We start from the raw sequence: 19842 nt of genomic DNA on the forward strand, positions 1-19842 counted from the left end.
TTGGATGATGATGGAGTTATTAGTAATGGATGCATTAATTATTATTATATGTTCAATTGTTTAATTTTTGCTTTTTAATGATATTAGGAGAGAAAAATAGCTGAAGAGGAGGAGGATAGGGAAAATCATGAGTGGAATAATACGCATCATGATAACACACAATAATTAGGAATGTAAACTCACAACAAAACTACTGTACCATGAGCCTGAATATAGCAAAACTTGGGACCCTAGCAAAAAAAAAAAAAAGTAGAAAATATGATGTCTCAAAATTTACAATGCTCTATTTAAAACATTCTGGCTATTCAGGCTGATTAAGTTTCAGTGAACTTATTTAGTTTTGAAAAAAACATAAAAATACCTCAATACTTAGTGTATGAGTAACATGACTTAAAATATTAAGTTTGCAGCCCCATAGTTAAGTCAATCCTCGTGTTCCTCACATTTTCTGTTTTCACAACAGTGGCCTCCTAGGTTAATGCCTCAAGATGGTTACATTGTCTCACTTGCGCTGGATCTACTCATTTTCAGTTACTTTGTTACCTTGTAAAAAAAGTTTTCATTTGTATCAAATTATGTTATGAATTGAATATAATAGTATCTCAGTTTTAATTTGCCACTTTGCTTTACAGATTTAAATAAAGAGGAATAAGAACCTTCTATCTCAATGCCCATTACTCTTGCAGTTATTTTTGAGAAAATATACGTATTTTGAGGTTGTTTTAAGTACTAGTCAATCTGGAAAAAAAAATGAAAATGAAAACACTGTCAGAGAAAACTGAAAATACATACTTTAAAAATCCATATATATTTCTTAAATATAACAGTCATGCATATTTCATAGAATAATATTGTGACTTAAAGTTTTTATGTTACCTTATGACTAAATATTTTAACACTAGCTGCATTTTGTTCAGTCTCATATAAACCCTATAACACATGATGAATAAAATATGAATCTTCTCATCAGTTAAAATTTTTCAATGTTCAAGCACTTTTAATTCAAGCTTGCTATAAAGAAATGCAGCAGAGGCAACAATTGTAATAACCAAAGTTAACACCAAAATATACACTGGTGTTTAGCACTGGTCTGACAAAGAATCCAAAGGGGAAAAAAAATGCTTCGATTTACTAAGAGGTCTATCGCATTGCAAGGGATTAATTATAGGTAGATTTTATTGTTATTAGATTTTATTATTTACTTCATCTACTATGCTAGCTAAATTCTATGATGTCCGAATTTGACTATAACATTTTTCATAAGACTTTAATGTAGATAAAGCTATTTTTTTAAATTCAGATGATTCAGTAAAAGGCTTTAGTAAATTACATATAGTTAAAACTTATGGCCAGGCGCGGTGGCTCACGCCTGTAATCCCAGCACTTTGGGAGGCCGAGGCGGGCGGATCACGAGGTCAGGAAATCGAGACCACCCTGGCTAACACGGTGAAACCCCGTCTCTACCAAAAATACAAAAAATTAGCCGGATGTGGTGGCGGGCGCCTGTAGTCCCAGCTACTCGGAAGGCTGAGGCAGGAGAATGGCGTGACCCTGGGAGGCGGAGCTTGCAGTAAGTCGAGATCGCGCCACTGCACGCCAGCCTGGGCGACAGAGCGAGACTCCCTCTCAAAACAAACAAACAAACAAACAACCGTATATTTTCTTTGCATATACCACTATCCTGTTGACTCTTTTCCTCACAATAACCCATTGAGATACATGTTTTTGCTAGACCATTTTATAGATAGGAAAACTGAGATTTAGTACTTTCCCAATGTCATACAGGACATACAAGACTGGGATGAAATTTCAACCCAAGTACGCTGAACTCTAAAACTGTTTATTTTAGCTAGTGCACACATGACCAATTGGATACCCAGATATGTTTTTAAACTTCACCATTGATACTGAGTCCCCAAAAAGGAGACATGTAATTAATAATCAACTAATGAATTTCAGCAAATGTAATTTCTTTGAGGCTGTTCCATAATCTGACTCTGAAACATTTAGGTACTAATATTTGATTATTTAAAACAATTTTCTTCATTTTTTAATGTATTAATTGGAGCTGCAGATTTTGTAGTATTTAAAAACCTGTGGCATCATTTTACATACAACGTAGACAGTTTCAAATGTTATTAATAGTATTATTTACATACATGTACTTGTTACACGGGTAGAAGCAGAAGATACATGAAGTCGAGGTGGATGGTGACAGGGACCATGTCTGGGGTTGAAGCAAAAAAATATATCAGAAGAAGAAAAAAAAGATCCTGCCTTTCTACTTATGGGATGTGTTAGTGATATCAGAAAACAAACACATACAATGACTGACTTTCACAATGATGAGAGAGAGAAATACTCTCATTTTTTCAATACCTAATACTTTAGAGACCCACAGCTATCTTGGTTTTTACATCCTCACCAAAACTGGGTAGAACTTATCCCATTTTACAGATGGGAAAACTAAGCCTTCAAGAGTTTTATTATGTTACGAAAGTCACACTGTTACAATAAACATGGAATGTGACTCTGAGGTGATATTAAATACTCTTGTTTATCAATTAAATTGACTTCTGATGAGAAGTATATAGATGTAACAGATACAAGCTAAGGGTAGATCTGAGGTTGGATTGTCTCCATTTATCAATAATTCTTCACTTTCAACTCTAAATAATACATTGTTACAATTTAACTAAATACTTAAAAGTCTAAAAATTACAATAGATTCTATAAAATGGCCCATTCACTTTGATAAGCTCTTAAACTATAATCTATCACCACTATGGAATAACTGAATAGCTTTTGTAGAGGGATGTAAAGTACTTTTCATCAAATATGAAACTGTTTTATTTAATGGCAGAATTTAAGGTTTGAATTGCAGAAAGGATAATAACAAGCAAGACTGGGATAGCCCACTGGGTAAAATATTTAAAAATGCCTGTGAATTTTAGCCGTAGAGAAGAAATTTATAAATACCTTAATAAATATTCTGTATTTCTTAAGTCTAAGCTAGACTCATACACAATGTGTCAAGTTTTTAAAAGATTCAAGTTTACTATTTAGCTGTTTTGGGCAATATTTTATTTATTTGGCCTGAGAAGGAGATAAGTTTCAGTGATATATGTAGTCAGAATAATTTGTATATTTAATGAGCTATTAAATCAATATCTCACAAATAATATATTCTTAATACTAAAGTCGTTAGCCTTGTTTGTACACATATATTTAATGTTAACAAGTGAATCATATTCCATATTTCATAATAGAAGCTTCTGTGAAAAAACTCATAATTATTTTTGAAAACTTACAACATTATATATAAAAATACATTCTCAAGACATATTTGTTTTCAAGATATTTTATAATAAATACAAGCCTATCAAAATTAGACCAAAATATAAGTACTGTAGTTTCTATTCAATTTCTAAAACACTGAGTAAAATGATACCTTGTAAAAACAAGAAAATTAGATAGAATGTAGGTAGTCCTGTGTCTGGAAGTGAGTGTAGATGTAAACACAGAACCATAAAATATTGTAAATAAATATATAAGTTCATCTTAAAACATCACTAAATTATTTTTATACCAATGATATATGTCAAAAATATATTTTATGCTCAAAATATATGAAGGAATATTGTTAAGACAAATGAATGACTCAATGAATAATTTTTCTATTATACCTACTGGATTAATAAGAGTAAAAGTGGGCTTATTTGAATATAAAGCAATATAATCAACATAATAATTAATACAAAAAAATTAGTGCAAGATTTGTCACTTTAAGAGTCTCAGAAAATATCTCCAAAAATTATTAAAATTACTCAATAATGAACTTAATTATTATATTATTAGCTGAAGTTCAAATGTCAAACTTACCTAAAATATTCAATTTGTAACCGTCAAACTGTCACAGGGATTACATTAAACATTTTAAAAGTATAACAATCTATTTTAAACTGTTAGCAGCTTAATTTCTAACTCACAAAAAAATTTATGTATTTATTTTTTTGAGACAGGGTCTCACTTTGTCACCTGAGCTTCAGTGCAGTGGTACAATCATGGCTGTCTCCTAGGCTCAAGTGATCATCCCACTGCAGCCTTCCGAGTAGCTGGGACTAGAGGCGTGTACCATGCCCAGCTAGACAAATGACTACTTTATAGCTCTGCCCTCTCCTGCTTGATGTTATTAATGTCCCAAACTGCACCTTTATATATTGTGTATCAATTAATATGGATTTAAAGTTATTTTTATGCTTTTGTAGTTAAATTTTTTAAAATAACTGAAAATTGAGTTATAAACAAAAATTACAATAATACAAGTTTCATATTTGTCCATGTATTTACCTTTATTGGAGAATTTTATATAAGTTTTCTTATACTTCTGTATTGCTGTCTAGCATATTTTCATTTCAAATGAAAGGGTCCACTTAATTTTTTTATTTTTATTTTTTAGTAGGGCAAGTCTTTTAGTAATGAATACCCTCAGCTTTTGTTTATCTGAGAATTTCTTAATTTCCCCCTCATTTTTGTAGGAGAGTTTTGTTAGATGTGGTAGGCTTGGCTGGCATTTTTATTCTGTTTCAATACTTTAAATATATAATCTCACTGCCCTCTGTGTGTGTGTGTGTGTGTGTGTGTGTGTATGTGTTTATTCAGTTTAAATATGTGTTTTTTAACTAGGAAATTTGGTCTATTTGCATTTAACATAAGTATTAACATGTGGCTTTAAAATGTGTTATGTTCTTTTAGTTTTTCTATCTGCTTGATCACCTTTTTTATGTCTTTTCTTACTGTATTTTAGAATGGCTGAATATTTTAATTATTTCACCTGCCACTCCATTATCTTAAGAGCTTCATATTTTTTACTACTCCATTAGCAGTTTTAGAGATTAAAACATGTATACTTGACTCTTCTAAGTCTATTATAGTTTAGCACCTTTATCTTCTTGGCAACTGTGAAAGACATTTTGAAACAATTCACTTCCTCCTGATTTATATGCTAGTGTTATTGTGTATTTTCATAGTATGTAGGTGTATATTATTTTTAGCATTTTTACTTATCAATACTATCAGTATTAGTCCTCTTACCTAATTAATCATGCCTTCTTGAATCTTCATAGTTCATCTTAATGTGTATATGAAATATGTCCTTGTTTAACCTTCATTCATGAAATATAGTGGCATTTCTCACTGCTGATAGAGCTCTAGGATAACATTTATTTCTCCAGAGCATGAAAATATCAATCCATTGTGTTCAAGCTGTCCAAGGTGTTACCTGCACCGTGGTGCCATTAGAGCCCCAAACCTGGACAGGACCTGGTCTCCAACCTCTTTCTGTCTATACACGGGAAGATCTCAAAACATTTTCTGAGCCTTTTAGCCCCTTTTCTAATAAAAGCAATGGCTGCCATGGACAAAGCAGCACCTGATACTGGCCACTTCTCTATCTGGACATCTTGTAGACCTGGGACAAAAAAATTCTTCTTTATGTTTCTTCTCTGACTGCATCAAATTGATTTTTTAAAAATGACCAGCTTGTCTAGTTGTCATTAATGGGAGAAATGGAGATATTTAACCAGAATTCATAATGGAATTAAAAGTACTTTGCCATTTATCTGTATTTATATTATCAGCCCCATTTCTTCAGTAATTTTTCTAGTCTGGTATTCAGTACAAACTTATTCATGTAAGCAAACACCACCTGTTCCCCCAAAACCTATTGAAATAAAAAAATAAAGATGCAAAGACATCTTTTTTCCTCCCATGCTTCCCTGCTAGGAGGCACTGGACAAAACGAAATACCTCTATATGTCTGTGTTACTTTCTTGACAAGTAAGAATTTACTAAAGCAAAAAAAAAAAAAGACGAAAATATGCCATGAAACTAATACATCAACATTTTGTTTCTTTTTTTTATTGGAACATATTTGCCCAAAATGTCCATCCATATTCATTCTGTGATTGCTGGTAACACTTAGCCATGAGCCTTTAAATGATATATAAAATTTTTCTCTCAAATACAAAGTGAAGCATATATTAAAGATAATAACTAAAGTACATCTCTTTAAAATATGGATTGAAGATACACAATAACATTAGCATATCTACTATATTTATAATAATTTATTAAGCTAGATATATATTTTAATATATCAATTTACTTCAAAACTATTTTCAGAGCAAAAATGGAAATTAAACTTTTCAAATGTGCAAAGAAATAAATCACTAGCATTTACATAAAACTGTTGGCTTCATGAGATTAATTACATAATTTATTGCTCTGGGCTGATTACTTCATTGTGCCAAATGAGTAAAGAATAGACTACACACCTCCATCACAACCCAGGAACTTCAAATTACCAGTTGTTTGCATTGTAAAAAGTGCTCATGACCATGTCTAAGTAGATATGATCACAGTCTTTAAAGACAATAAACCATTATTATGATGTCAAGAGAATGATGAGTAAGCTTTCTATGTAGCCTAATGTTAATATTTTTAAATACAATTATCTCTAATTTTAGGTCCACATATCGGCGTCCTTTTTGTTTGCCTGTAAAAATGTTTTCTTTATGTTCAATCTTTTTTTGAGGATAGTATTTTTTTATTAATGAGAATAAAATCTCTGTCATAAACTGAAACATATTTTAGGGTATAATATATTGAAAGATAAAGAGTTTTGTTTCTAAGCACTGCAAAAAAGTAGCAAAAACTTATTTTAAATAGCAAGTTTAATTATGAACTGGACATATTTTAAAGTGTCTTTCTCTCACTATGGAAAACTTTACTAATATTGTCACATGGTGTGGTGCTACACATCTGTAGTCCCAGTTAGTCGAAGGCTGAGGCAGGATGATTGCTTGAGACCACAAGGTCGAGGCTGAATAAATTATGATCACACTACTGTATTCCAGCCTGAGTGAAAGACAGAAAGAAGGAAGGAAGGAAGAAAGGAAGGAAGGAAGAAAGGAAGGAAGGAAGGATTGTCACATATATATTTTAACAAAAGAGATAAAACATAACAAAGATTATTCACTAGTTATTATTCTAATTCCATAAGCATTGTCCATATAGAAAAGGGAGTCAAGAAGCAAAAATTAGAACACATAAAAATATGAGTTTTAAAAATATATTTACTGTTTAATTTTTAGGAAGTCAATTTATTTAATATAACCAAGCAGCTTTATAGTTGTAGTTATGAACATAAGCTAAATTTGAAAAGTTGTAGCAAACAAAACAAAACAAAGCCCTTAACATAAATAATTATTAATAAACATGAATGTCCATTCTCAATTGCAGCCATAATTAGAGCTTACAGTGGCTATTTCACAACTTTAGAGTAATTATTATTTCAGTTTCCCATATTTTGAGAGAGTTTGAAACATGGTAATGGGTTCCTAGGATAGAATATGAAATGTGGCTTAATGTTGAAATCATTCAGTGGTGCTGCAGAAGCAATTCACAAACGGGAAAGGGAGGCATGAATCTAACCAATGATTCAATGTTTATTTTACTCTATACAATTTATAATTTCAAGATAAAATAAACACTGTGTAAGTGGTTGTCACTGAAAACGTAAGTTATGCATTCCAATTATATGATAGGTCAAAAGTAAAATGAAAGTCAACAGAACCAGCAAAACCATGGCGTTTTGCATCTTATTCCCTGCCCCATAAAAATGATTTGAGTTGGAGTCTATAGATCTACATGGTACGGAGACTTCTAAATCAATTCTAGAGGTTATGGGAAAATATAAACAGAAGTGCCAATTTTAGAACATTGATTTTTCTATGTCTGTGGAAAAACCCAGAGTGGGTGTCTAGGGGCTGAAAAATTGTTGGAAAAATTTCTTTGGCATGTTTTCCCTTATATCAACACTTAGGAGAGTAGGAACCAGAGTTAAGTCAAATTCTATCCTTTGCACCACTACACCACATAACCGTCTCCATACCAGCAATCAAAGACACTTTCTTTGAATAGGATAGATTTGAAAACATGAAGAATTCTATGTTTTTCTAAAGTATTATTTAATATATAAGAAACACATTGAAGAATGACTTTGATTCCATCCATGGTATTCAAAATTATTTAGTTGATATCATTAATATAAAATTTAAAACATCCATTTGGAGCATATAAAATATATATGGAATCAGTACTGTATTTCCAATGACTGCTAATATAATGAGCAAGCCCAGAAAATGCTATTACATGTGTTTGGATGGATTTCTATTGCTTACTAAAAGCCTATTTTACCTTCCTCAGAGCTAATAGAAGCAGAGTTATCCATCAAGAATAGCAATTAAACTTTAATTTTCTATATGTGTGAAGTCAATATACTAAAGAAATCCAATGGCTTCAATTACACTTTTGCAATTTTAATTATTTTATGCCTGAAATTTCTAGAAAATTTTCCACAGTGTCTAATACATCACAACGGAGAACTTAATCTCACTGGATTATAATTAGACTCTAAAGGGTAAATTAAATGAATATATGCATTCTTGTTTATATATAAAACCTTCAAAGGAAAAATGATATTCATCAACAAAATTTTAAATTGAGTACTGCAACCTTGATTCAGACTTTGCATTTTAAAATATCGCCTTATAAAAGAGTGAAATCTTTATATATTTTTTGTAAACACTTAGCATGTACTTCAGGTTTTATAAGAAATAAACATTTAATGAGCATCTAACACGTAACAAATATATCTTCTAGAAATACACCAATAATGTACAAAAAGGGCATTTTTATTTGTTTGCTTGAGAGTAGACTTGTAACAAAATAAAAACAGTGTTTAAACATTCCAGGTATAATATAAGAATTTACAAGATACAGAATTAGTGCAAAGGAAAGAGTGCTTAGTGTTCTTTGGCAAAGACATTCACTTACTTGAATTAAATGTCACATCAACTTAACCACATTCTTCATTGATTGCATGGCTGCCCTCAGTCTGGACTATGACCGGAAGAAAGTCTCCACGGCCGCCATCTTGGCCAGGATTAAAAGAACTGGAGATGGAAGCTACAAGAGTGGCTGAGTTTGGGGTCTCTCAGGTTCCTATTTCAAAAGCCAGCCAGGCGGAAGTTTAAAGTCTGTTTATTAACTACTGAATAATGCTACCAGGATGCTAAAGATGATGATGTTAACCCATTCCAGTACAATATTCTTTCAAAATGCAAAAGTATTGAAAGCCAAAACAACAATAACAACAAAAACTGTTAGGTGAATGTTATAATCAGAATGTGCTTGTTTGACAAGCAAGAAGACTTTCCAGAAATATCCAAAGGCAAAGAAAAACATGCATGAACCAAACATGGCAATTAGTATCTATTTGGAGAAGTTACATTGTGAAAATGGTGAAGTATGAAAAAAAAGCTTACATAAAATATTCGGGAACTTATGTCATTTTTTAAAGTATAGAATGATATTAAACTGGGAAGTATTGGTAGAAGGGACAATACATTTTATAGATGATTAGTTTTAGAGTCAGTTAACCAGTGATATGACTGAAAATAATAAAACATTTTACTGAAGTGTATTTTATAGATTATGTTAAATCTATTCAGATAATATAGATAGCATAGAGAATATTGAATAAACTTGAAATATATTAGAGAGATACAACTAAAAAGTCACCACCTCAACTGTACCTAAACCCAGGTCCTAGCAGGTACTGTTATTTACATCTCTAAAATATAATTTGTCTGGTTCCAGTAATCTTTGTACCATTACAACTTTAGTCTAAGCTACAATCATTTCTTGCCTTGAATTCTTCCCCAGGTACTTGACTCTAGCTCTCTGGCCTCTTCTGAACATTACTTCTCTGCTAATAAAGTACTTTTTACAAAACACATGTAATCATTGACTTACAACTGTGAATCATTGAAGAGCAGTCTTCTAAATATGGCCATAAAAGCCCTCCGGAGTCTGACTCCTGCCTGTACCCCAAACTCATCACCACATTGCCTGCTCCATTCCAGCCATGCTAGCATTCCTTCTCTTTTCAACACTATTCCCCATCCACTTCGCTACAGGATCTTCATACATGCTTTTTTTTGAGACAGAGTCTCTCTCTGTCGGCCACACTGGAGTGCAGTGGTATGATCTCAGCTCACTGCAGCCTCCATCTCACAGGCTCAAGCGATTCTCCTGCCTCAGCCTCCCTAGTAGCTGGGATTACAGGTGTGTGCCACTACGCTCAGCTAATTTTTTGTATTTTTAGTAGAGACGGGGTTTCACCATGTTGGCCAGGCTGGTCTTGAACTCCTGACCTCAGTTAATCTGCCCACCTCGGCCACCCAAAGTACTAGAATTACAGGCGTGAGCCACCGTGCCCGGCCCATGCTCTTTAATGCTATCAGTCATTGTTAATTACTAGTCCAATGTTATTTATTTTTCAGCTGTTAATAGAAGCATGACTTCTTTAGGGAAGAACTGCTGATGTTGCTAGCTAAATACTTCTATTTCACAGTCATAGAATTGGTTCTTCTCCTTTGTATCATGGCACTTCTGAAATTTCATGAGTTTGTAGTTGTTTAATTGACATTTTACTTTCTCACTATAATGAAAGGACATGAAAGAATAGATTATGTTTTTGCTGACCAGCAAAACCTCATACTTGACATATAATAAGCACATATTAATTACTATTAAATGAATGAAACTTTTGAGGCTATAATACGGAAGTTAGATTTTGGTAGAGTAAAATGTTTCTTTAAAAAAAATGAATGGTAAAAGTATTTGAGCTGAAAAGTTAAGTGATGAAAGATGCACTTTAAGACAATCTGAAATCAATATGGAACGTTGGTTGAAGTAGAAGAACCCAAAGATCCAGAGAATAGCAAGTCAGGGAACAAAAAGAGGTTAAATTAAGAGGATGGCAGCTGAAAAAACAATGCAGTGACCACACAAAAAATTTACTTTTTAACTTAATTGGGAAGGCACAGATAAAGACATGAGGCATGAAAGAAGGGACACGAAATATTGTATATCTTATACATAAATATATATCTTATAAATAAAATTAATGAACATGATTAATGTTGGAATTAATATGTTGGAAAACGAATTAAAATTCTAGATAAGTATAGCTTTACCAAGACAGAATCAAAAATAAATTAAATTTTCTTTGTTTAATAATAATTCATGTTGTTAGTAGTTAAATATCTCCCCACAAGGAAATACCTGGGATTGGCCTGGGCTGAAGCTCTCCTAATAAGGAGGCCTCTAGGGAGGCATTCGAGCTAGAAATGCAGATCTAAGTAAAAACGAAAAATTGTGGCCAGCTTCAGCCTGGGCATGTGTGGGGTGGAGGCTGTGGGCTTAAACTTTGTTGGTAACTCCCTTCAGACTCTGCGCTGCACTGACTGTGCACACCAAGCTGTGGAGGTCAGTTTTCTTCATCAAGACCTGCATGGAAAACTTTTATAATGACCTTTGGCAGGGCCTCAAAGATCACACACAAGATTTTGGCTTGGAGCCAGATTCCTCCCTTTTCCTTTCTATGTTTAATTTTAAATAGTTTTTAATGTAATTTTTATCTTACAAGTTTTATTTCTCATCTCAATTCTATTTGCATTTAAAGCTAGTTTTCATATCAACTTAACTTTTTTTTAACATATGTGATAGACTCAATTTCTATTTCCTGCTAATTCCAAGGTATGTGTTAATTCAACATCATTTGTATTTTATTGTTTTTTATCTTCATTGTGAGTCAAATTTCAAAGTTTTTTTCATGCCTGGACATTTTGTTTGTTGATACATAAAAATTGTATTTATTTATGGGTTACATGTGGTATTTTGATACATGCACGCAACCAGTAATGATCAAATCAGAGTAATTGGGATATCCATTGGCTCAAACATTTATTATTTCTGCATGTTTAGAACATTCTAAATCTTCACTTGTAGCTATTTTGAAATATATAATAAATTATTGATAACTATACTTACCCTACTGTGCTATGAACACTAGAACTTATTCCTTCTAACTGTATTTTTGTACCCTTTAACCATCCTCTCTTCATTGCCCCCTCCCATAAACTTTGCAGCCTCTGGTAACCACTATTCTACCCTCTGCATCTATGAGATCTGTTTTTTAGCTCCCATAGATGAATGAAAAAACACGATTTTTGTCTTTCTGTGTCTGGTTTATTTCACTTAACATAATGTCCTCCAGGCTCATCCATGTTGCTGAAAGTGACAGTATTTCATTTTTTTTATGGTGGAATAATATTCCATTGTGTACATATACTACATTTTCTTTCCATTCTTGGTGTGTATACACCACATTTTCAATTCATCTGTTGATGGATATCTGAGGCTGATTGCATATCTTGCTATTATGAATAGTACTGTGATAAACACTGGATGTGCAGATATCTTTTCACATAGAGATTTCCTTTGTTTTGGATATAGACCCAGGAGTGGGATTGCTGGATCATACGGAAGTTCTATTTTTTATTTCTTTTTTTTTGGGAACGTGATGCCTGGTAATTATTAATTGGTTGCCAAATATCGTCTTAACTTTTCTGGAGATATTTTTTATTTATTTCTATAAATAGTTTGAGTTTACTTTGGGACATAGTTACACTATTTGAAAACAGGCTGCTTCTTTTAAGTCTTACTTTTAAGGTTTGTTAAGCTGAATTAAATCAATTCTCAGTCTAAGGATCCCCCATTCGTGAGGCATGACCCTTGTGTGTTCTGTACACAACACTTTGTAAATCATACATTATTTAGAGAATCTAATGAGAACAGGCACTTTTACAGGCATTGTAACCTCAAATATGTTGGATGGTTCTTTTCTCCTACACATACCAATCATTACTCATCTCAGTAATTGAGGTGTACCCTCTGCAGATCCTCGGAGTTCTCTGTTTGTGTTACACCAGTATTTTCTCCTGTGAACTACAGGCTCTTTGGGGTCTCAAATCTCCTAAATTTAGAGTGTGCCAGGCTTCACCTGTTTTCCTCATTTTTCTCTGCATACTGGAAAATCGCTCTTAGCAAAAAATTAGGGCAGTCGTAAGGATTAACTTATTTGGTTTCTATCTTTAATGTTATCAAAATTGTTTGATTCCCCATATTTTACTCTTTAAGGTTAGAAGAGTGTATATCTTGTTTCTGTCAATTCATCTCAGCCAGAAGTAGAATATTTTCTTATAGGAGCATACTAAATAACTCCTGAATATTTCTGCCAAATAGGCCTAACACATGATTTCTGATTATGTCAGTGTGACATATTGGATAATATCACTGTGAAAACATTGCTAATAAGCTTTGACTTCGTGAAAATTTCAAAAGAGTACATGCAGAGAGCTGTATCTTGTTATGAGGCAGAAGTTTACAAATCTGAGGACTGCAAAGCAGGTTCATCCTGGGGGCTTATTTTGTTTGGTGAAAGATTTTTTTTTATTATTTACATTGAATTGTAATGTCCTGAGACAGGTTATGCGCACGCTGATTTGTGATCAGCTCCAACTCAGCTGTAGCATCATATTACTTGCCTGGAGATTGAAGGCATTAAAAATTGTAAACACTTCCCCTAAAACAACAGTGTTCTAAATTTTTCCTTGTCCAGGGGTCGACTCCAATTCTGAAATACTGGAAAACACTACTACATGCACGTGCACATGCGCAGCACTAGTGTTCTTCAGTAATATTTTCTTGTACATTTGGGAAAATGTTAATACACCAAATGAATGATGGAGGTTTCTTAATGTCCATATAATCAATGTCTAATGAAAACATCACATTCATTTTTTGTTACCCTGATTACCAAGACCAACTTTTCCGTTGTCTTTTGCTCACAGGGCCAATAATATGAACTTCATATATTTAACCAACACTATTTTAATTTTCTGAGATTCTCTGTTGCAATATGTTTGAGGTTCTAGATATGACATACTATTTACCTGAGATAAGCCATTTTTATTGGAAAAAGAAATGCACTGATTTTGAATAACTATTGGAACGAGATAAATCCCAGAGTCTAGAAAGGCTAATAACACTTTAAGGGATGAATACTCACTGAATTTCTAATTAGAAAATATTTTATAAAAAAGAAAAAGAAGATGTTACAGTGTGTGGATATATAGATTATTTTATAGTACATGCACACATTTCTATCTATAATAGAAAGGTGGCTGTATATGTTACTATAATTGAAATGAGTTCATCACTTTTTTTAAAGTTTTCTGGAAAGGTTTTATAGATCATACTAGTATTATGCTTTTCAGTTCAGTCTAAAGTGGTGTTTTAAAATGAAGTCATCTATTAAGTTAATTGCTCTAAGCCAACCAATATTTTGAGAAAAGTCACATGAAAATTAATGGCTAATTACTTCCCAGTTGCTCTTTAGCTCAGGTATGATATTATTTTATAATTCAAATTAAATTGATATTTTTCTACTTATACATTTGTAATTTGCATATTTTCTTGTAGTTTTTATTAAACATTTTGTATAGATGTTTTTACTATATGATAATAATACAGAGAAACAATGTTACTCTATATAGACAAAAATAAAATAGGCTTAAAATACACACACAAGCACACACACATCCATATATATGCAATCTCTGTCAAATGGCAAACCATGTAACAAATAATTACAAAAATATTTAATTAAATACAGTAATAGGGGCCTGTAATATAATTTATTCTATGCTATTTTATCTAATTTTTCATATGCATACCACTCACATAATTTAATATATATGCATAAATTTGATCCTTTCTGATTGCTTTTTTGCAGTTTTTTAAGTTTGACTTATTTACCTACCATAAATTTCTCCCATCACTGAAATTATCCACGTTCTTCATCATCCCTTACTTCAATACTGCAAATACACTTAATACAAAATAATATGTAGGATTTATTTCATTTTTATGAAATGCTCACATACATATAAAGTGTATTTTGCTTTAAAGAAATACCATTATAAGAAACTTAATACATCTTGTTTTTCTTACATTTTTATTTTCCTCATTTTTTGAATATTCTTCCAAATCAATGGCATAGAATTCAATTTTTAAATGTACGCATGCTCTTAAATTTTACATATGTAGCATAATTCACTCATTCCCTAACTGATGGATATTTAGATGTTTCATTTTCTTTCCATTATGAAGAATAATGAGATACATATTCTTGCATATGTATCCTTAACAAAAAATAGATTTTTAGGTGAATTTTCAGGGGAAGTTTTTTAGAGGCAGGGTATAACTATTTTTTTTAATTGGTGGCCAGGTTGATTTCCATAAGTAATCTATATGAATGGCCTTTCCCTTTTATCCACAAAAAAAGGCCTTAATTATTATTTTGTAGTGTATGCATCCTCACCAATAATAACTTACTGTTACTTTCTTTTGAAATTCCCTAGCTACTTGGGAATTTGAGCATCTTTTCATACTTTTGTTGGCTATTAGCATTTATTCTGCAAATTTTATACTCATTCCACTTACAAATATTTTTATCGGAGTTTTTGTATATTTCTTGTCAATTTTAAGAGCTCGTGATACATTTAGTATACCAATCAAATTTTTTCATATCTAACATTATTAAACTACATTTGCTTATTTTACATTTCACCATAAAACAGATTTATTTTTATTTATATTTTAAAAAATACAATTCAACCATTTTACAAATGTGTGAAGCAAGCTTACTGAGGGGGTGAAACAAAAAGATAATCTAAATAATTTTTGAAATAAGTGGAGTCTGTAAAATGAAAGGCAAACACACAATGTATAAATATAGTGATCTTGTTGATAAAGTTTTTTCACACAAGGGTATGGGTTAATAATTCTGATATTACTATACATGTAATTTGGAATTCTACAATTAAGTAAATTGATGGCAGATGATAGGATCTTAGTTTCTTAATATAATGGTGAGAGTGCACGGATGAGCAAGGAAAGAAAGAATTATTCACATGGCAATTGATTAGAGTCTGAGACATCAGTAGGAACTCATGTTTAGTTTAATACAGATAGAGATGGTTAGATACAGAAATATTGATATATATGAACATATATACGTAAGTTAGGATACACACATAAAACTTGCTATCTCTGTTGAAGGCTTAGAAGCAACAACAACCCAAGTGGAAACAAGTATATGAAGCTCCTTGGATCATTTACAGCTTTTTAGGATTATTACAGAAAGCATACAAGATGAGCCTGAAGTGTCTTGTACCAAAAAGAAAAGAAGTACAGACACACACACACACACACACAAACCAAGCAAACACATATACTCATATGATAAGAGTCTGTCAAAGGGACACCGGTGACAATTCTAATACCTCCAATGGCCAAAGCTAAAACAACTTCAGCAACAAAATTTTTAAAATGAGTAATATTGACATAGTATTGGATTATAACTTAAAATATAAAATAAATATTCATTAATCTGCAATGATAGAAATATATGATTGAATAGATACGTGAATGGGAAAGTAGGGACAAATATCCCATGCAGAAGAATTTAAAATAATTTATGTAGATACTCTATGCTCACATAATTTCCTGCTTCTTTAGTGTGAGCTGTGCAGAGCAAGTGCATTTCAAAGAGTACAGTGTGAAAAAACCCTTGGGGGAGATAACTTAATCCTGACAAACACTACCTTAGCCAACTGATTAAAGTAAATATCTGCAGTAATAGTCACGTTGATGGCATGTGCCTTTGATAATCTGTGATGATGGCACTTCTACCCTATGTTTTTCTTCCCCAAAACACATGGCCCCAGTCTAATAATTAGAAAAATAAACAAATCGAAATAGAGCAACAGCCTACAAAATATATGACTAGTATTCCACAAAATTGCCAAGGTTTTCAAAAACAAGAAAAGTCTGAGAAACTTATACTCAAGAGAAGACTAAGGAGATAGAACAACTAAATGTCTGGAATCCTAGATGAAATCCTGGAAAATAAAGTTGAAATGAGGTAAAGACTAATAAATCTAAAAAGTATGCACTTTAGTAATAACAAAGTATCCATATTGGTTCATTAGTTGTAATAAATGAACCAGACTTTTGTAAGATACTAATAACAGAGAAGCTGGAAGCAAAGTGTATCAGAACTCTCCATATTCTCTTTATGTTTTTCTGCACATCTAAAACTGCAATAACATATAGTTTATTTTTTAATGATTATTAGCAAGTAATTTCAGAGTTTCCAGTTGATTAAAAATGTTATTAATTCATGTATTTCCCTGAGTTATCTTACTTATTTTATCGCTTAATACTTAAGTATTTAATCTATCTGAAATTTACTTCATATAGTATTCAATGTGATTCTACTTTTTCACCATATTTTCAATAGTCTCAGCATTATTATCATTGCAGAGTCAAATCTGAACTATTGTTCTTAAATTGTGCATCACTGAAATTTTACACTATTTCTTCACATTTTTAGATTTAAGCATTTTTTGAAACATATTGATCTTTATGAGTCTATTACATGCATAACATATTCAACAGAAGTTATTATAAGAACAGTTGACAAATTAACACACACTGCTCTAATGCATTCTGATGTTGAGAAGCAATGTCTGTAAAGTATTAAATGGTATTCATTAGAAAATATATTAATCACAGTGTTCAATTAATTCATCCATTTCAGAGTCTATAAGACAGATTAGTTATCCTGCTTAACATTATAAAAATCTCCTAATATTTAATATTAATATTGTGAGTGTTTTATGTTTTAATATAAGAAAAAGACTTAGCAAGCAAATTTTTCAGAAAAATATCTTAAGATTTTATTGACTTCTGAGTGAAAAACTGGATCCATTTTCTCTATATTCTTTTAAAAAATTTTTAATTTCTGTGGGTACATAGTAGGTATATGTATCTATAGGGTACCTGAGATTTTTTTTGCCTATAAATGATTTTCTTTTTTTAACTTTATTTTAGGTTCAGGGGTACATGTGAAGGTTTTATAGGTAAACTCGTGTAACGGGGTTTGTTGTACAGATTATTTATTCAACCAGGTACTAAGCGTATACCTAATAGTTATTTTCCGAAGGTAAATAATAGCTTGTGTTCCAGATTAAAAAAACAAACAACAAACAAAACCAAACTCTTTTAATGGCTAGGATGTGTATTCTTCAAAATACATCTGAAATGACCTACGAATATGTGGCTATTGTCAACAAACACAATAACTTTTTTTGTCTGCCCGTTATTAGACCATAAAGGCACCCCTTGCTTGGCCTCATATCTAGGAGTCTAATTACCCTCGCATAATTAAGCAGTATACGAGGTGTGTCAGCAGAAATAACACTAGAAAGACTGTTTGCACTTGCATGATTTTATCCATGAAACAAGTGGTCAGTTCAACTGTGAGCTCTTGAACATGAGCAACACTCACAAAAATAATATGTTATTTACAAATACCACTTAAAAATTGAGTAAAAACTATTGGTGTCTTGTAATGCAGGATTTAATTGATTCTAGGATGAGAAGGGGTGCTGGCTACGAATGGCTCCAGGGGAAGATACGGATGAAAAAAATAAATTAAGGAGAAATTGCCTCAATTTTGACATTGGCTAGGTTAACATTTACAAACAATATACCTAATATCAAAAGGCATGAAAAGTATGGCGACTGGAATGAAAAGCCACCATTATTCACCCTTGCGTCCCTATACCCATGCCCTGCAGCATCAGAGCTGATAGTTTCTCCCAATAGAGGTGGAGTGTACCTTCCTACACTCAAATTTGGACCCTGCATGCCTTGTTCTGGCTAATGAGATACTAGCATTTGTCATGTAACAAAGGTATCAAATGTACTTGTGTGATGCTATCTAAAGCACCTTTCCTACCAGCCTGCCTGTCCAAAGAGGATGAGAAACTTGTGAAGCAGACCTAGATTTGACTTACGGTTCTGGGACAATCACAGCCATTCTTACCTAGATCAACCAATCAACAGCTGACATGTAGATGTATTAAGAAAAAAAGTGACTGTCATTTAAAGCTAGTGAATTTGGAAGTTGGTTCATTATGTAGAATGGGGCAATAAGTAATACATTAAATAATAGGATGATGCACCCTGTTTTCATTATCACTAAGAAAAGCAACAATGGCCAAAAGTAGACTTAATAAACTGTATTTAGAAAATAGAGTCAGATTCTAAAGGAAAGGAGAAACAGAATGGTCTGTTATGTCATGTGCAGAGCAGCATTGAATTAAAGAAAGGAGATTAAAAAATAATAAAATAAATAAATTTAAGGTATAGAAAGGCTACCAAAGAATTCTGGAGCTAAGGGAATTTTGAAAACACATTGTTTTAACTATTTGATTTCTTACAGAAAAAAAAAGTTCAGATTTATTTATTCTAAATTATTGTTATGTAATGTCTTGCCTAAGCTTCCCATACATTTTATCTAACTTCTATTCAAGTGTTATTTGAATAAATTATGATTTATCTTAAAAGCAGATCCACCATTATTCAATTATATTTTTCTTATATTCCTTTTATTTAGTCATATCTTGTTAAGTTACAATTAGTTGAAGTATGTTGCTATTTTAAAACAATGATGGTTTTAATAAGAAAAAATATATATTAAAGCATTTCACGAGTGCCATGACATTTTGAAAAAATCAGCCCAACAAATCTATCCTTTTTTGTTGAAAACTTAGATTAAAATTTCAGGTAGAGAGGATGATAACTTTTAGATAGTAGATATACCTTTCTCCACTTTGGAAATGAAAACTGAATCAACCATAATATTTTCCAACAAGAAAATCGTCCACCTTTCTGAAGCATATAAAAATAACTTAAAATTCCTTCAATATTAAATGATGTAGTTATATTCAATAAGTC

General features: G+C 31.9%; 1 long non-coding RNA gene across 1 annotated transcript in view; it reads right to left on the bottom strand.

Moving 5' to 3' along the window:
* Window positions 1-418: 418 nt before the first annotated feature.
* Window positions 419-19842, bottom strand: part of LOC124900950 (uncharacterized) — a 153441-nt gene continuing 134017 nt past the window's right edge. The window contains exons 4-5 of the long non-coding RNA XR_007058710.1: window positions 2160-2227; window positions 419-738 (exon numbers count right to left, since the gene is read on the bottom strand). This is a non-coding gene — a long non-coding RNA (uncharacterized LOC124900950). The remainder of the gene's footprint in view (window positions 739-2159; window positions 2228-19842) is intronic.

Source organism: Homo sapiens, chromosome 5, assembly GCF_000001405.40.
Source record: "Homo sapiens chromosome 5, GRCh38.p14 Primary Assembly".
Lineage (NCBI taxonomy): Eukaryota > Metazoa > Chordata > Mammalia > Primates > Hominidae > Homo > Homo sapiens.